This window comes from Homo sapiens, chromosome 15, assembly GCF_000001405.40.
Source record: "Homo sapiens chromosome 15, GRCh38.p14 Primary Assembly".
In the NCBI taxonomy this organism is placed as follows: domain Eukaryota; kingdom Metazoa; phylum Chordata; class Mammalia; order Primates; family Hominidae; genus Homo; species Homo sapiens.
Window position 1 is genome coordinate 32264219 of NC_000015.10, and position 19177 is coordinate 32283395.

At 42.8% G+C, this 19177-nt stretch overlaps 1 long non-coding RNA gene across 10 annotated transcripts in view, besides 2 other annotated features; it reads right to left on the minus strand.

Moving 5' to 3' along the window:
• The window catches only part of LOC102724078 (uncharacterized), a 187103-nt gene that overhangs the window by 108254 nt on the left and 59672 nt on the right, over positions 1-19177 (minus strand). The window lies entirely within an intron of this gene.
• Positions 1439-1978: an enhancer, noted in NCBI's record as "NANOG hESC enhancer chr15:32557858-32558397 (GRCh37/hg19 assembly coordinates)". NCBI's record gives its function as "activates a minimal SCP1, AML or CMV promoter by ChIP-STARR-seq in naive H9 embryonic stem cells {active_cell/tissue: H9 hESC(naive)}" and the evidence as "EXISTENCE:reporter gene assay evidence [ECO:0000049][PMID:30033119]".
• Positions 12423-12923: an enhancer, noted in NCBI's record as "H3K4me1 hESC enhancer chr15:32568842-32569342 (GRCh37/hg19 assembly coordinates)". NCBI's record gives its function as "activates a minimal SCP1, AML or CMV promoter by ChIP-STARR-seq in naive H9 embryonic stem cells {active_cell/tissue: H9 hESC(naive)}" and the evidence as "EXISTENCE:reporter gene assay evidence [ECO:0000049][PMID:30033119]".

Genomic DNA, 19177 nt, shown 5'->3' on the forward strand with positions numbered 1-19177 from the left:
CACTAGAGCATTTCACAGTCGCCACCTCCTTTGCCATAGCAAAACTTGGTTTTGTTTGTGCCTCAGTAGAGGCTGAGGGCCATCACTGAAGAAAATCCACAATAACAAGCAGACAGGAAACCAATATATGAAGCAAAATAATTCTTTATTTTATAATAAAATTATCTACCACAAAACTGAAAGTTTATTCTGACTTAAGGGAAGTCAAATGAGAATCCGAAAGTTTTGTGGTGCATATAGATTCACAGCAATGGGAATTAGTTAGAGGTCTTATATGTAAGTTCACTCAGTGAATGTGTATGGCCCCCAAGCACAGGCCTGGAAGGAACTTCACTGACATGTTTTCTTAAATGACCTTCAACTTGCATCTCTGATTATGTCTTCTTGTAATCCACGCTGGACTCTTTTCTTCTAAGTGACACATTACTTCTTCAGGTAGATCAATATCATCAATTAAAATGCAATTTTGTCTTGTTTTTGCACGGTCTGTTTTTTTAAGTCTAACTTTGCATACTTACCCACTTACCTACACTTTAACTAAAGTGTGTTTATTAAACTTTCCAAACTCTGGGATGCCTTGCTTTCATGCCTACTTATAATTACTTTATGTGTGCTAAAAAGTCACAAATAGCACTTTTTGCCCTATGTTCTTTTCTTCTTTGTACTCTGGAAGAAGAACCAATGACGACAATGAAAAGCAGGCAGTAGCAGAGTTGAAGAAGAGCATAGGACTTGGCAGTGCACAGCATGAATCCTCAGTCCTTGGCCAACAAACGTCATCATTTCAACAGACCAAATCTATTGTCAAGATGTGTTTTCTGTTAAGTCTCCATTGGCCCAATGAGAAACACTTAAATTGAGCTTCCCTAGACAACATTTTGCAAAGGGACTGTGATGCTAACTCTCCCTTGAAAACATTACAATTTATATATTAATAAAATCTTCTTATTTTCATGTTTTAAAACTTCAGCTTGAATTTGAGCCCATTAAGTACAACTGGCAGTAATTTCTTCGCCATGGTCATGTCCAAATGTTGTGATGAACACAGAGATAAGGCTAATTGTCATAGATTTAAATCATCTAAAACAATTGGGATTGCTTCATGTCACCGGTACTCTCTGCTCCAGGCTCAGACATGATAACTTTATGATCAGCATCTTAAATATCTCACATCTCTCAACTCAATTCATATCTTGAGATTGGTTCCAGCTCCAGCATGAATTTTGAAGAGCTCCCTGTGGCTACAAGTCTCTGATTCTTCCCTGTCTGATAGGGGAGCTGGGTCCTGCCCACTGCTTTGTCCTGTGTTCCAGTCCTCCTGGAAAGTCCAGTCCCCCAGTCCCTTGTCATGATGGTCTGTGTCTCTTGGCCAGCTAGGGTTAGGCTCAGAGTTAAGCTAACTGTTGTAGACTCTAACCGTGGCTTGCTTATTTGCACCTGTCTTCTTTGGCTACTAAATAGTTTTTTTTTCTTTTGACCGATTGCATCTGGCTTCCCCACCTGCTCTGTGCCCCTAGTGTATTAGTTTATTAGGGCTGCCATAACAAAATACCACAGACAGAGTGGTTTAAGTGACAGAAGTTTATTTTCTCGCAATTCTAGAAGCTAGAAGTCTAAGATCGAGGTGTCAGCAGAGTTGCTTTCTCCTGAGGCCTGTCTCTTTGATGTGTAGATGGCTGCTATCTTCCTTTGTCTCTGCCTGTTCTTCCCTTTGTGCAGGACTGCATCCTAATCTCCTCTTAAGGACGGAAGTCATATTGAATTAGGACCCAGGCATATGACCTCGTTTAACCTTAATTGCCTTTTTAAACACTCTAGCTCCAAATCCAGTCACGTTCTGAATTTTGAGGCACCAAAGGGGTGGTTAGAACTTCAACATCTGAATTTGGGGGGGATGCAATTCATCTTACAACACCCAAGATGGTTCTTACATCCGTTCTCAGCCTCAGATGTCCTCAGTCCTGGTGCTGCCTATGTGGCGTGCCTGAGGGCAGAGCTCACTGCCAGCCTGGTGCTCCACAGCTGAATTTCTGACTGTCCAGCAAAGTATCCTTTGTCCAATTTGTACCCACAGGTAGGCTTTAGCTTTCAGGCCAATGTTAGATTCTTCTCCTGGCTTTAGAACAACTTGGTGGTCTCCTCCAGTTTCTAGGGACATCTCTATGCCTTTCAACTCCTGATTCCATTTGGACCCATCTCTGTATGACCTCTCACAATGCGAGCTTGGGTATCTTTCCCTTCTTATTGTGACTCACCACTAATAGCAGTACAAAATCCTGTTTCATAAAGTGGGTTCCTCAGAACATTAGTTATGTTGGATATAAATAGATTTCGTGTAGGATACCAAGAATGTTTGAGAAATGTTGCATGACAGAAAACAAAGTTTCTTTCATGCAAAACTTCCTATATGTCCACAGGTGGGAAAGTGGGAAGATAGACCTTGCGTGATTTCCAAATGTTTTTGTTTCCAAATGTTTTATTTGGGTTGGGGTGTGAACTGTGAACTTCCCAATGACCCAAAGGACTTGCCCACATGCAGTGCTGAGATCCTTGGCCACACTTCAGCCTGGCTTCTACCTGCACTAGTCATGTGCCTAAAAGTGACACAGCTCTTGTGTGAGTCTCTGCTCAAGAAAATGCAATGCTCCTGAACTGCCAGATGTAAATTGTCCCAACCCACAAGGCCAAACCATTTTCAGTAATCCTCTGCAACTCCACTCTGTAGCTTCCTACTTATAGCCCCCAGTCTCTTTTCTGGTCCCCCTTTTTTTACTTCCCATAATCTCGTTGTGTGCCCTATCAGATCTCCCTTTGAAAACCCCAGTCACCTTTGTCTTATTTGGAATTAAACTGATTCATACTGGAGCCTCTCTGCCCTACTGCAGTAGTCTGAGTGAAATCTGTCTTGCTGCCTCTAACAGTGTCCAGTGCTCTTTCTCTGACAAGGGGAGGTGCCTCACCAACCCTGAGATATCTGTTAGGAAAATGCTGCTCTGGCATTATGCTCCAAGTGAACCAATTCCAAGATATTCTGCAGAAACTATGGCCCAAAGACACTGAGAACACACAGAAATATGCTTGTGCTTTCTATAAGTTTTCCACTTTGTATTAAGTGAAAAAAATTCTATAATAAAACAAACAGTGAATTTGTGTCACATGTCAGGTATATATGAGTGAGGGCCACATGGCCTCACAGTACATTACACGAATGATGACGCCATGATAACCTGAATGATGAAAGGACTGAGCCTTCCAGGGAACATTCCCATGCTGAGGCCAGGGTCCCCCCTCTGCCACACTGGCAGGATGTGCTGCCACATCCACATTGCAGGCAAATGTCAGCTGGCTGCCCCTTGAACACACACTGACTTGGACATTCACTGACAGTCAACATAATTGTCACTGGACTGCAGAGGGAGTGTTAGGGCTCCCTATGTGGATGTCAGCTCTTACAAATAAAGCTACCCTCATGTTTGTATGGGGGCAGCAGTCTGCAGTCTGTCATCCAGGGGTAGGGGAATAAACCTGAGGATCAACAAAGTCCATTCAATATTAAATAAACCTAATTACATACAAAAGAGGGGTCATGTCTTAGTCTGCTCAGGTTGACATCACAAAATGTCATAGATTGAGTGCTTCAAACAACAGAAATTTTTTCTCACAGTGATGGAGGATGCAAGTTCAAGATTAAGTTTCTGGAGGCTGGAAGTCCAAGTCAAGCAAGTGACACCTGTGACCACCTCCAGCAGCAGAGTCCCACTAAACAGTGGAGAACAGAAAGCATAACAATGCCTGCCTCCAGGAGCAGTAATCCCAAGACGTCAACCCACCACATGATTTTCAGGCACGACTCATGCAGGCACTGGATGGAACAACGCTTTATGCACATAGAGAAGACACAGAGCAAGAGCAGCTTCAGTTTCGACTGTTGATCCCTCATGGCCAGTGGGTCTCACCCCACAGCCAGCACAGGGAGATGTTCCACACACTCATGCTATAGACAAAGGCCCCTGTTCCCAGCAGTGGGGTCGTTCAGGTGCCATATGATGCACATGCTTTAGTAGAACGAAGAAGTACGCCTCCAGTCCAGAACAGAGAAAGAGGTTCCCCATAAAGGGTAATGGACAGCGCAGGCTGTGAAAGCTCTTTATCTCTTTGTAAGAAAATGTTCCTAACCCAAGGCACACTCCTATGCAACTGTACAGAGGTCAAAAGACTACGTTTGTGTGACTGCTTCTCTCAACATGTTCCTGGTGAGGGCTCTTTTCCTGGCTTGCAGACAGCCACCTTCTCCATGTGTCTTCACATGGTCTTTCCTTGGGGCTTGCATGAAAAGAGACAGAGAGATGCTGTGAGAGAGCACTGGGGTGTATCTTCTTATAAGAACACAAATCCCTTCGGATCAAAGCCCCACCCTTAAGATCTTATTAACTTTAGTTCTTTATAGACCCCCTCCCCCACCTCCAAATATAGCCACACCGGGCATTATGGCTTAAACCTGTGGATCTGGGGGAGACACAAACATTCTATTCATAATAGGCCAAGATGCATAAACAGAATAATTGACTCAGGAGAAAGATGGCAAAAATTCAAAAATTCATCAAATGTAGTACACTTTTAAAATATTCTAACTTGTATCTTAAAGAGAAGCTGGACAATATTGCACCCATTAAACAAGGGCATATGTCAATGAAAAAGAGGAAATCAGAAAATAAAATATTCTTAAATATTAGAAATATAATCATTACAATAAAGATACGATGTCTGAAAGAAAACTTGAAGGACAACTGTCAGCATGTACATAAAAAGAGAAAACATGAAGAGAGATATGAGAAAAAAAGTTTAATAAGAGCATTTAAATCCAGGAAGTCCAAAGAGTTACATAAAGAGAAAATACAGAAACTGATAAAAATGAAATGATCAAAGAATAGCCTATTAGGAGAACATTTTCCAGAGCTATGAGGAGGTGCTGCGTGCATCTCGACTTAAAAAGTCACCGACGGTTGATCAGGAGATATAAAAAAATCACCCACCCCTAAATGCATCATTGTGATGTTTCAGAAGAGAAGGAACAAAACAGGGCATCTGTAAAGAAATCACAGTCAAACTCGCATCAGATTTCTCATTAGTAACACTGGAATACAATGAGGCAGTAACTTCAAAGTCCACAGAGGAAATTATTTTCAACTTAGAATTCTACACCTGGTAAAAAAAAATTATACTGAGTGTCGATGCCAAATAAACACATTTTCAGTCATCCTAGGCCTCAGAATGTTTACCCTTTATGCATCTTCAGTGAAAAAGATAAATCCTTGATGATATTCTGCAGTAAAACCAATAAAAATCCTAGACAAAAGGAGACATAGCCCCATCCTCAAGACAATAAAGGACTATCTCAGATGACAACTGAGCAGCAGACTTAGAGAGCAACTGGTCTACCACAGTGCAAGGTCAGGGGAGTGCAGGTGCAAATGTTGCTAGGGAGAAACGTTTAAGAAGAAAGCAGACTTGTGAAAGCAAAAGCATCACGATGGTGGAAAATCTTGGTGATAAGTCAGAGGACAAGTTTAAAACAAAGGGAAAATGTTGGGAATTCTAGGAAACTCACAAATATGTAGAAGAGAGTCATGCTTTAGTGCCAAGCAACAAGCACATGCCATGGGCTAGCAGCATGGACACCTCCTGGAAACTTGTTAGAAATACACATCCTTAGGCCACCCCAGACCTGCTGAATCAGGAACTGTGGATGGCACCCAGCAATCTGCCTTCAGCAAGCCCTCCAGGGGTTTTTGATCCTCTGCATTGGACCAGGGTTTGGCAGTGGCCTCTTTTTGTAAATCAGTTTTGTTGGAACTCATGACACTTATTTTATCCTGCAGTTTCTATGGCTGCTTCCACTCTGCAACAGCAGAGGGTAGTGGCTGTGACAGACACCCTATGGCCCCAAAGCCTAAATATCTGCTATTTGATTCTGTACAGAAAATATTTGCGAATCCCTGCTTTATACCTTTAGATAGGCTACAAAAGTGTTTGAGACTTCATTTGACTTGACTTTGAATTTTAGTATGTGCTTCTTAGATGTATCAGTCTGGGAATCCCAGGTCCTTCTATCTGCAGCCAAGTGCACTACACTCCTGTTTGCAGTGACAATCCTCCTAATATTGTGAAGGCTGCTTCTTAGTTTTCAGTCAACATCTAGAGCAAGCCCAGGAGACTTGGGATTAAGGAATAGGAGTGTAAGAGTTAAAACGTCATAAATGTGAAAGTCAGGTACAGCTCCGGAAACTAGCAGAAGGGAAGCACAGGGAAAAATATTTCCTCATCTCAGATAAAAGGGAGACAAGAGAGACTGTCAAATTGGTGCAACCAGAAAAATATGCTCACACAACTCATAAAAAGTTTTAAAGGCAAAAGAAGTAAAAATCAGACCATAACTAAGAAAAATTGAGAGGGAGTGGAAAGAGAGAAGAGGCAAGGAATAATAGAAAGTATCTAAATCAAGAAATGAGGGATAGAAGATCCTCCAGAGGAACAGAAGAAGAAACAGAAACAAGAGCTGGCTTTGAGCAGGCATCCCAGATGTTGGTTTGACATGGGGCAGACTTTTGTTTTCATTTCTTTGTTTAGTTTTTGTGTGCAAATGTACATTTGACTCCAATGATAGTACAGATTTTGAAAGGTAGAGATAAACACTGGCAGGACCCTGGCCCATGGAATTAGGAAACTTCCAAGCCTCACTCTCCAGCCCTCCTGCCCCCACCAGGTCTGCCCAGTGCTATGTGCTCCCTAAGCCCCCTCTTCCCCACAAACTGCCTTCTGTCTTTTTTAACTGCTGTTGCTTTAATGTTTGTTTTGTCTGATATAAAAATAGTTACTCCTACTCACTTTTGGTCTCTATTTGCACGGAATATCTTTTTCCACCCCTTTACCTTAAGTTTATGTGAGTGCTTATGTGTTAGCTGAGTCTCCTGAAGACAGCAGAAACTTGGTTGGTAAATTTGTATCCATTCTGCCATTCCTTTTTGTTTGTTTGTTTGTTTTGAGATGGTGTCTCACTCTGTCACCCAGGCTGGGGTGCAGTGGCATGATCTCAGCTCACTGTAATCTCCATCCTGGGTTCCAGTAATTCTCCCACCTCAGTCTCCTGAGTAGCTGAGATTACAGGCATGCACCCACATGACCAGCTAATTTTTTTGTATTTGGGTTTTCACCATGTTGGCCAGGCTGTTCTCGAACTCCTGACCTCAGGTGATACACCTGTCTTGGCCTCCCAAAGTGCTGGGATTACAGGCATGAGCCACTGCACTGGGCCCATTCTGTATCTTTTTTTTTTTTTTTTTTTTGAGACAGAGTCTCGCTCTGTCGCCCAAGCTGGAGTGCAGTGGCATGATCTCGGCTCAGTGCAACCTCCGCCTCCTGGGTTCACACCGTTCTCCTGCCTCAGCCTCTCACAGGCTGAGGGCGCCCAACAACACGCCCGGCTAATTTTTTTCTATTTTTTTGTATTTTTAGTAGAGATGGGGTTTCACCGTGTTAGCCAGGATGGTCTCGATCTCCTGACCTCATGATCCGCCCGCCTCGGCCTCCTAAAGTGCTGGGATTACAGGCATGAGCCACCGCACCCGGCCCCATTCTGTATCTTTTAAGTGGAGCATTTAGGCCATTTACATTCAACGTTAGTATTGAGAAGTAAGGTAGTATTCTATTCATCACGCTATTTGTTACTTGAATACTTTGTTGTTTTTTTCATTGTGCTATTGATATACAGGTCCTGTGAAATTTATGCTTTAAGGGGGTTCTATTTTGGTGTATTTTGAGGATGTGTTTCAAGATTTAGAGCTCCTTTTAGCAGTTCTTGTAGTGCCAGCTTGGTAGTGGTAGATTCTCTCAGCATTTGTTCGTCTGAAAAAGACTTTATCTTTTCTTCATTTCTGAAGCTTAGTTTCGCCGGATACAAAATTCTTGGCTGATAATTGTTTTGTTCAAGGAGGCTAAAAATAGGACTCCTATCCCTTCTAGCTTGCAGGGTTTTTGCTGAGAAATCTGCTGTTAATCTGATAGGTTTTCCTTTATAGGTTACCTAATGCTTTTGCCTCACAGCTCTTGAGATTCTTTCCTTTATCTTGACTTTTGATAACCTGATGACTATGCGTCTAGGTGATGATATTTTTGTGATGAATTGCCCAGGTGTTCTTTGAGCTTCTTGTATTTGGATGTCTAGATCTCTAGCAAGGCCATGAAAGTTTTTCTCAATTATTCCCTCAAATATATTTTACAGACTTTTAGATTTCTCTTCTTCCTCGGGTACACCAATTATTCTTAGGTTTGGACACTTAACATAGTCCCAAACTTCCTGGCAGCTTTGTTCATTTTTTAAAATTCTTTATTCTTTGTCTTTGGTGGATGGGGTTAATTCGAAAACCTCGTCTTCGAGCTCTGAAGTTCTTTCTTCTGCTTGTTCAGTTCTATTGCTGAGACTTTCCAGTGGATTTTGCATTTCTATAAGTGTGTCCTTGATTTCCAGAAGTTGTGATTGTTTTTTATTTATGCTATCTATTTCACTGAAGATTTTTCCCTTTATGTCCTATATCATGTTTTTGATTTCTTTAAGTTGGACTTCACCTTTCTCTGGTGTCTCCTTGATAGTTTAATAATCAACTTTCTGATTCTTTGTCTGCCAATTCAGTGATTTCATCTTGGTTTATATCCATTGCTGTTAAACTGGTGTGATTTTTTGGGGGTGTTAGAGAAGCCTGTTTTGTCATATTACCCGAATTGTTTTCCTGGTTCCTTCTCATTTGGGTAGACTATGTCAGAGGGAAGATCTGGGACTCAAGGGCTGCTGTTCAGATTCTTTTTTCCCACAGGGTGCTCCCTTTATGTGGTTTTCTCCTCCTTCCCGTAGGGATGGGACTTCCTGAGAGCCAAACCGCTGTGATTATTTTTTGCCACTCAGCAGAGCTACCAGGCTCAGGCTGGTACTGGAGAGTGTCTGCAAAGAGTCCTATGATGTGATCTGTCTTCAGGTCTTCAGCTGTGGATACCAACACCTGCTCTGGTGGAGGCAACAGGGGAGTGACGTGGACTCTGTGAGGGTCCTTAGTTGTATTTTTGTTTAGTGTGCTGGCTTTGTGCTGATTTTGTGTTGGTTGGCCTCCAGCCAGGAGGTGGTGCTTTCAAGAGTGCATGAGGTGCATGAGGTGCATGAGGGAGGATGCAAACTTGGCCTAGGGTCACCTGGTTAAGCATTCAGGTTTCTCAGGTGTTGGGCAGGGCCACAGAGCTCCCAAGAGACTATGGCCTTTTTCTTCAGCTACCAGGGAGGGTAGAGAAAGACTACCAGGTGGGGACAGGGATAGGCATGTCTGAGCTCAGACTTTCCTGGGGCAGGGCTTGCTGTGGCTGCTGTGGGGGTGTGGCCCCCAGGCCAACGGAGTTATATTTCCAGGGAGATTATGGCTGTCTCTGCTGCATTACACAGGTTGCCAGGGAAGTGGGGGAAAACCGGCAATCATAGGCCTCACCCCACTCCCATGCAGCCGGCAGTCCTAGAGGCCAGTATTACTTCCACTGTGCCCCGGCAACAGCACTGAGTCTACTTCCAGGCAGCTGGTGACCAGGGCTGAGAACTTGCCCCAGACCACCAGCCTCCCCACTGAGAAAATAAGCAGACTCATAGTTTTTTGGCATCTCAGGGAGCCTGTAGCAGGGATCCAGTTCCTTCAAAGGGTCTGTGGATTCTCTTGACTTTCTTGGTAGATTCCTGTGGTACTTCTTGGAGCAGAAGTTCACAATGTGAGTCTCCACACACTGCTCTGTCCGTCCAAGTGGGAGCATTAAGCTAGTCCTCCTCTCCACCATCTTAATCTCCTTGCTGTCTTGTGAAAAACCATCTCCACGGCTGCCTCCTGCCTCCTCTGCAGGATGTGAAATGGTAGCTGGCAAGGTGAACACGAGCACCGCAGCTCCAGCCAATCCTGCGTTGCCACCAAATGACCCTGAACACTGGTGTCCCTCTTCTGCAAGCCCCTCTGAGCCCATCCATCAAGATACACTTCTTGATTCTCCACCCCCATCCAGTCCCAGAGACCATCTTGTTGCATATTCTATGACAACACATCCTTCTCCTTGCTGGTATTTATCACAAATGTAATTATTAACTACATGTGCAATTATTTGTTGAATGTTCTCCATATCCAGCTGGGCTGAAGACAGAGAGACGGTGTCTGGCTCACAGACAGCTGGACCTGCCACTCCTCCCCGATGCCTGTGATACAGGGAGGACTCAATCAGTGCCTGTTACTGGAAGGAGCGAATCCTGCTGGCAGGCAGGCCTCAGCACAGGGCCTGGCACTGCTCTGCTGCAAGACTCAGTACCTGCATCAAGGCACACAGGGAGAGAGGTCGTCAGAGTGTTTGGGGGTAAGATGATCTTTGAGCCTCAAGGTGACAGTCTGTCTGGATTGCTAACAACTTTGGCAGTGGAAAGGGGATGTTGCAGGCTGAGTCTGTCCATCTTCCTAGTGATGTCCTGTCACATCCTCCATATGGGCAACAAAAACTGTTTTCAGGGACATATCAGAGGAGCTATTTCCAATTTTGTGAAAATTACCTTTGAGATTCCAATCTGAGCTGGGAAATCATTTGACAAACATCAGTGGGGATGGATGTGCCAGCACTTCAATGACAAAATCAGATGGATCCCTGGGGCCAAAATATAAGCAGCAGCCAGGACTGGCCCTGGGCCCCCTGTTGTCCTGTGTGGATGCTGGGTTGCCATAATCAACAACATAGTGGCCACACTTTAGAAAACTACTGGAATGAAATGATGAAGGGAATGAATGGGCTGGGAGGCAGTGTAGACCTTCACTATGGAAATTCAGGCAGATCTTCCAATTACAGGCAGGCTTGGTGCCTGTTCTCATGCAGAGCACGCTGCAAGCAGAGACTCCGAATACAGTCATTGAAACAGCTCTGGAGACACAAGCATAAAGCAGAAAAAAACTGATTTGAGTGTCATGTGCAGACAGAGGTGAGGTTTAGGCCACAAGAGAGAATAAGCTCTCCGAGAGAAAGAGAGGCAGAACCTTGCAAAGTATACCTGTGACCTTGTAGAATAGTACTAGGGCAAACCTCCCAGGTTGCTGAACACTGAACCGTTAGTGAGGAAATAAATGTTTTTCAAGAATCACAGTGGAAGTGAGGCTGAAGGCCCACATTTCATTAGACAGAAGAGCACACTCCTCCCGTGCCCCTATGAAATGTAATGTCTGATGAAGCCCAGCAAGAATTTTACTGACCCTTTGGGGCTTTGCAATTTGGCTGAAACAGGTTGTGAAGTCAGCAGCCATTTTCTTCAGCCTTCACAACCTGAAAATCTTTCACTCAATCCAGAAAGGATAGGAATGAGAGGGTGAGGATTTGTGAGCGAGCTTCTCAATCATAGCAAGTTAACCAGATTCGAAATGGAGGAACGTGAGTCTCTCACGCACCAGTCTTAGGTACAGATTTTGCATCTGGCTTTTCAACAACTGTGCAGAACTTCAGAGGTCCCTTCTCTCTTCTGTAAGCCACGGGTCTTCCAGCACCAGCTGACCAAGAGCCACTGAATTTTTATATTTCTGATATCTCATTTTTGATAAATTTTTTGCCTTTGGAGGGTTATTTATGTGTTTATTATTTCTATGGTGACAAAAGTGATGAAGGATCTTATGGGATTTTAAAAGAATGCCCTTTGGAGGCTATTCTGATTACCAAAAAGATTGAACAGGAGAATGGGCTGTTTAAGAAAAGCCCAAAAGTTCTCATGGTAACTAGAGCTGTTATTGACAGAAGGGGATTGGAGATGGAGGTATCTCTGCCCAAATTAACCCATTAACATATCAAATCCTTTAAAAGAAAAAAAAAGTCCTACATGATTCAATATTTGAGAATATTTTCTCATACAGATGGTATAGGAGGGTTCGGGTAAAATAAACAGAACAACAGCGAAGCCCCAGGAACCCGGACCTCATGGCGAAATTCACACCCTTTTTGAGTTTTTGTCCATTCTGCAGCTCTGAGGGCCCCCCCACCTCCACGCGCCTCTGTCAGGTTAGAAAGCAGAAGGGTCTTCCAAGGCCAGGGCTTGGCTGGACTTCAGCTGTGCGGGGATGCGGAGCTGCAGGAGAGGGGCGCCCTCTGGTGGCCGCTACGGGCTGTGCTGAGGCCGAGTGGATGGGAAATGGGCAAAGGGGCCTAGAAAACCCTTCCTGCAGACTCGCGGAAGGAGGAAAGTAGGGAGGCATGATGAGAGCGCTCATGAGAGATGAGTGGTAACCACAGCTGTGGCCAAGCCGCTTTTTTACAAGACTGAGATTCCCCCAGGGCCTCGGGTCACCCTGGCTTTCCTCAAGACACCCCCGACCCAGCCCTACTCCCTGAGGTCCTGAAGGGACCTCTGGGGTCCTGGTTGGTACGGATTCTGCTTGATTCGTGTCGGGGTTGATGCTTGTCCCATGTGGTGGTTAAGGATTTGGGACGTGAATCCCTGGGGAAGTTGGTGTTTGGGACAGATTGGAAGAGGTGAAGAAGGAAGGAGAGGAACTGTTACACTCAGAAAGGGAGGCAGACAGAGTAGTAAAAAGAACCGGGCGCTCCCAAGCTGAGCTGAGACCTGGCCTCTGTGTGTGGCGCTGGCTATGCTCCCAGCGAGGATGGAGAGCCTGCCCTTGGCACTCTCTGGACACTTCCAAGGGGGGACGCGTCCATCCATCCCGCGTGTCTGTGTTACGGTCCACATGGTGGGGCATACCTGGACACCTCTACACGATCTGGCACATATGTCATCAAAGTCCTTAGGATGGATTCTGAGCCTCCTCCAGGTAGCTCCTGGGGAGACGGGAGTCCCTGCCTCAGCAGCGCCAGGCGGCACAGGTGCGGGAAGATCTGGACACACTGGGCTGCAGCAAAGGCGCTCTTCGCTGGACCTGTCAATGTCTGTGTCTAAGGCAAGGAGCAAGCTGGTAGGAGGGGGAGGGCGACGGAAAAGAAGAGCCAGGAGAAAGGGCAGTGCAGGAAAGGGAAACAGATCCTAGGCACAGGGACCCAGGACATGCCCTCCTGGAAGAAAGATGAGGACCAAGAGAACAAGTGCTAAAGAGGGGACGGAGGGAAACAGGGCGAGGCTGGAACGACAGGCGGCCAGCCGGGGGCAGAGCAGGATGGGCTTGGGGAAGCCATGAAGCTAGAATGGTGCTATTTACCCCACACTAAACTGTCTACTGGGCAGGCAGCCTTAAATTCGTCCCCGTACCTGGGAGGCTGAAAATACAGTGGTGTTTTGGCAGAAAAAAATAAGTGAAGCGGCTGAATCCAGTACTGAAGGAAAGCATTAGGTGTGGAGCCTCATTTTTATCTCTGCCAAGTTCTAAATGCAAGAGTGCTGCCTGGCTCGTGTCACATGGCTGTGGGCAGGTTCACACAAGAGAATGCAGGGCAAGGTTCTTCAAATCAGAGTGCTATATTGTATAAAGCTGTATTATTTCCAGCATAGACATTTTTGCACATGTAAGTCATTTTCTCAAATATGAAGAAACTGGATTCCTAGAACATCATTGCTATGATTCCATCACCTTTCCCCAAAGGTAGATCTTTCATCCTTGTTGGGTTGAGATGAGAATGTGTCAGCTGCTAAGGGAACCCATATAGCTCAGGCTGTCACCTCCATCTCCCAGTGTACCAGGAGGAGTGGCTCCCCTGGTCCTCTGCCCACAGCTGCCCCGCAGCACCAGCCACTTCCAGCACACTGCCAGCAGACCCTGGGAGAACTGGCATACGAAAGAAGTGCTAACTCCAGAGGTAGCACTAGGACCCACAGGTGCAAATTGCAAAAGAAAAAGTTCAGTTGCACTCTGACCCTTGGAATTTTCCAAACCCGGACAAGGAGGTCTCTGCAGCTGATAAGCCCCATCTCAGGAGTGGGCATTGCTTAGAGCCCGCACAGCTCTATGGCCTGAGCCTAGTGTTCATGGCATTATCAACAACCAAGGCTGGCGGCAGGCATGAATGTGGGGGTGGTGACTATACAAGGCTTAAGAAAGAGAAACGTTCTGTATTCTCACCAGTACTGTAAATGGTATCCTTGTTTCCCACAGAGCCTTTGAATCTGGGCAATAGGATCTCTTGTTAAGAATGGGGCTGGGCTGGGTGTGGCCCAGCACTTTGTGAGGCCAAGGAGGACAGATCATGAGGTCAGGAGTTTGAGACCAGCCTGCCCAACATGGTGAAACCCTCTCTCTACTAAAAATACAAAAATTAGCCAGGCATGGTGGACATGCCTGTAATCCCAGCTACTCAGGAGGCTGAGACAGGAGAATTTTTCGAACCCGGGAGATGGAGGTTGCAGTGAGCCAAGATTGCACCACTGTACCCCAGCCTGGGTGACAGAGCAAGACTCTGTCTCAAAAAAAAAAAAAAAAAAAAAAAAAAAGAATGGGGCTGAGACAGTACAAGCAGCTTGGAGCTCTGGACTTGGAGCAAACAGCTATGTTTAACTCCTTATCATTCACCATCTGTGGGCATTTAGCAAGGCATTTTGCAACACTTTTGCTTTCTTGTAAAATAAAGTTCAAATAGCTTAATTTACAATGTTATTGTACAATTCAGCTAAGCTTATCCTTGTAAAAGTCTCGAGTAAAAAGTATAAAAACTGTGTGTCATTTATCAATCGGCATTATTGGGATGTGAATAGCACACTGCATGTGGGCTCAGAGAATATGGGCTAACTATGGGCCTTTCCAAGAGAAGTGGGAATCACTCACGACCTTTCCCTCCTTCTGCAAAGGCAAATTTACAAGTCTTCTTTTAAGCATGTCATATTGATATATGCATAAAATTTTGGTTTTTTAATTGAACTTATTATTGAGATAACTGTTGATTTATATGCAGTTGCAAACAATAATACAGGGAAATCCTAGGTACATTTAACTCACCTTCCCCCAGCAATAACCATTTTAGTATATCACACCAGAATATTGACATGGATACAATTCACTGATTTTGTTCAGATTTCTCCAGTGTTACTTATACTTATCTGTGTGTCTGTGTATGTATTTAGGCGCGTTTAGTTCTAGATAAATTTACCACCCATGTTAAGTTCATGTATGCACCACCAAAGTTAAGATTCTTAAGAGTACTGATCAATAGATACCTACATTAAAAGAGAAGATGGCCCCAAATAAATAGCCTAACATTACACCTCAAGGAGCTAAAAAATGAACAAAGCAAGCCCAAAGTTACAAGAAGGAAGGGAATAACAAATATCAGAACAGAAATAAATCAAAATAGAATAAAAAACCATAGAAGAAATCAATAAAACTAAGAGTTAGTTTAAAAACAAACAAACAAAATCGACAGACCCGGAGGTAAACTTAAAAAAAAAAAAAAAGAGAAAAGCCTCAAATAAATAAAACCAGAAATAAAAGGAAGGACATTACAACAGATGCCTCAGAAATAAAAAGGATCATAAAGGACTATTGTGAACAATATTATGCCAACAAATTGGATACCCTAAGGGAAACAGACAAACTCCAAGAAAAATTTAACCTACCAAAATTGAATCAGGAAGAAATAAAAAGCCTACACAGATCAATAACAAATAAAAAGATCAGAGTAGTAATTAAAAATTTCATAACAAGTACGACAACAACAAAAAGCCCAGAATCAAATGGTTTTGCAACTAAATTCCTTCAAACATTCAATGACAAATTAATACCAACATTTCCTAAATTCTTCCAAAAAATAGACCTAGAGGGAATACTTCCTAACACATTCTATGAGTGCAGGATCACCCTGATACCTAAGCCAGACAGATACTGTAAGAAAAGAAAACTACAGGCCAATATCGCTGAAAATATTGATGAAAAAAACACAATAAAATATTAGCAAACCAAATTCAACAACACATCACAATATTATACATCATGATCAAGTGAAATTTATCACTGACATGGACCCTCATTTAACATATACTAATTAATCAATGTGATACATTAACAGACTGAAAGATAAAAATCACATGATCATCTCAATTGATGCAGAAAAAGCATTCAACGAAGTTCAACATTGTTTCTTGATTTAAACTCTCAACAGTTTAGGTATAAATGGAAAGTTTGTCATCATAAAAAAGGCTATGAAAAAGCCACAGTTAACATCATAGTCAATGGGAAAAAAATTAAAGCTTTTCCGCTAAGATCTGGTACAAGGCAAGGATGCCCACTCTTGCTGCTTCTATTCAGCGTGGTACTGGAAATACTAGCAAGAGCAATTAGACAAGAAAAAGAAATAAAAGGCATTTAAATCAGAAAGAAAAAACTCAGATTATCTCTATGGATGGCATGATCCCATATTTAGTAAACCCCAAAGACTCCACCAAAAAAAAAAAAATGTTAGAACTAAAAAACAAACTTCGTAAAGTTAAAGGATACAAAATCAGTTGCATTTATGTGCACAAATAACAACCTACGTGAAAAAGAAATCAAGGAAACGATTGTATTTATGAAAGCATCAAAAATACAGTTAGGAATAAGTTTAACCATGGAAGTAAAAGACATGTACACTGAAAATTATAAACCATTGATAAAATTAATAGAAGACACAAATACGTGGAAAGATAACCCATATTCATGGATCTGAAAACTTGATGTTGTTAAAATGTCCATATTACCCAAAGGAATATGCAGATTCAATGGCATCCTTATCAAAATCCCGATGGCATTCTTCACAGAAATTTAAAAAATCCTGAAATTTGTATGGAACCATAAAAAAACTAAATAATAAAAGTAATTTTGAGAAGAGAAAATGACATTGGAGTTATCACACTTCCTGAGTTAAATTAGATTGCAAAGCTATAACAATCAAAACACTATGATACTGGCATAAAATCAGACCACAGACCAGTGGAACAAAAGAGAGAGCCCCAAAATAAATCTATATATATATATACAGTAAACTAATTTTTGACAAAGGCACCAAGAAGACAAAATGGGAAAAGGATAATCTCTTCAATAAATGATGCTGGGGAAACTGGATTTGCATGCGCAAAAGAATAAAACTGGGCCCTTGTACCATACACAAAAATCAACTCAAAATGGATACAAGACCTAAATGTAAAATCTGAAACCATAAAACTCCAAGGAGAAAACATAGGAGAACAGGTCCTTGACATTGCCCTTGGCAATAATTTTTGAATATCACACCAAAAGGCTACAAAAGCAAAAATAAATAAATGGGAATATGTCAAACTGAAAAGCTTCTGCACAGCAAAGAAAACAATCAACAAAATGAAAAAGTAACCTATAGATTGGAAAAATAATTGCAAAACATATATTTGATAAGGTTTAATATCCAAAATTTATAAAATGTTCACACAGCTCAATAGCAAAAAACATATAACCCAATTAAAAAATGGGCAAATTATCTGAATAGTTATTTATCCAAAGAAGACATCAAAATGACCCACAGGTTAATGAAAAGATGCTCAATGTCACTAATCCTCAGGGAAATGCAAATCAAAACCATTATGCGTTATCACCTGACACCAGCAAGTGGAGCTTCCTAAAGAAATTAAAGTTAGAAGTACCATAAGATGTAGCAATTCCTCCTCTGGGTATGCATCCAAAGGAAAGGAAATCAGCACTCAGGGAGATATCTTCACTGTCATGTCCATTCCAGCATTATTCTCAATATCTAAGATAAGAAACAACCTAAATGTTCATTGGCAGGCAAATGGGTAAAGAAACTGTGATATATATGTACAAAGGAATATCCTTCAGCCTCAAAAAAGGAGATCCTGCCATTTGCCACAACATGGATGGAATTGCAAGACATTATGCTAAGTAAATATGTCAGATGCAGAAGGAAAAATATTGCATAATCTCACTCATATGTAAAATCTTTTAAACAAATTCAAATATACAGAAATAGAGAATTACACCGTGGTTACCAGGGGCAGTGTGGCAGGAAGGAATTGCAGAGAAGTAGGTCAAGGGTTACAAAGTCGCAGATAAGGAGGGTGGACAAGTCTAGAGATCTAATGTAAAGCATGAGGACCGCCAATACTAACAGTGTCTTGTATTCAGGATTTTTGCTAAATGAGTTGATTGTAGATACTTCAGCCCCACACACAAAACATGGGTACATTAATTTGCTTCACTATATTAACCAATTTACTATATATATATATATATATATATATATATATATACACACATATATATATATATATAAACATCATGATGCTTACCTTAAACATACACAATTAAATGTATTTAAAAAATCCATCATGATGTACAACTTATATACATAAAATAACTAAAATAAAATTTAAAAAATAAGATTCTCCCCCTCCCACAACAAGAAAGGCTTTGGAAGGACTTGAATATAAGATGGCAGAATAATTTGGTAATAAATGCCAACGACTGAGATCTGGGACATCTGTTGACTGAGATGCCAGGTGCCATGTTGCATGGCATGGCATGAGGCCAGAGCCATGGGGCAGGCATTGTAGGATATGTACCAATGTCCAGTCTCCTCCACGGTGACTCTCTATGTGCTCAGACCATCAGGAATTATTTTCTTTTGCTCTTTTGGTGTCTCTGTAAATCCCATCTTATCTCCCAAAAATTTCCTCCTCTCCTCTGCTTTAAATGCAATGTCCTTTGAGGCCCAGCTCACAGGCCACATCAGCTACGCAGCGACGCAGCCCTGGAGGAACGAGCCCAGAGCCTGGGCTGTATCTCATGTTGCAGATTTCTGGCATCTTGAATCTTCTTATCCTGACCTCTCCAATCGCTGCCACCCTTCATCTTTGATCCCACTGGTGGGCTTGTGCAAGTGTGCAGGATGGAACCTGAGTTCCAGCCCCTTACGCTGACAATTACAGTAGTTGCTTACCAGCATCCTATGTCTGGGCCCTCTTCCCCTCAGAGGCAGGTTGCCTGGAAAGAACAGAAAGAACAAAGGGATCCATTTCTGTCTTTCTCCGAGGGACTGTCTGGAGCATCTCCAAAGATGGGGACTACAAAATGCGATTTGCATCACAGCCCACAGCAAACACAAAACTGCACACATCTGTGTCCAGTGGCGTATTAGCCATGTGGCTCCACCTCCAGAGGAGGATATCTGATCAGCCTCCAGG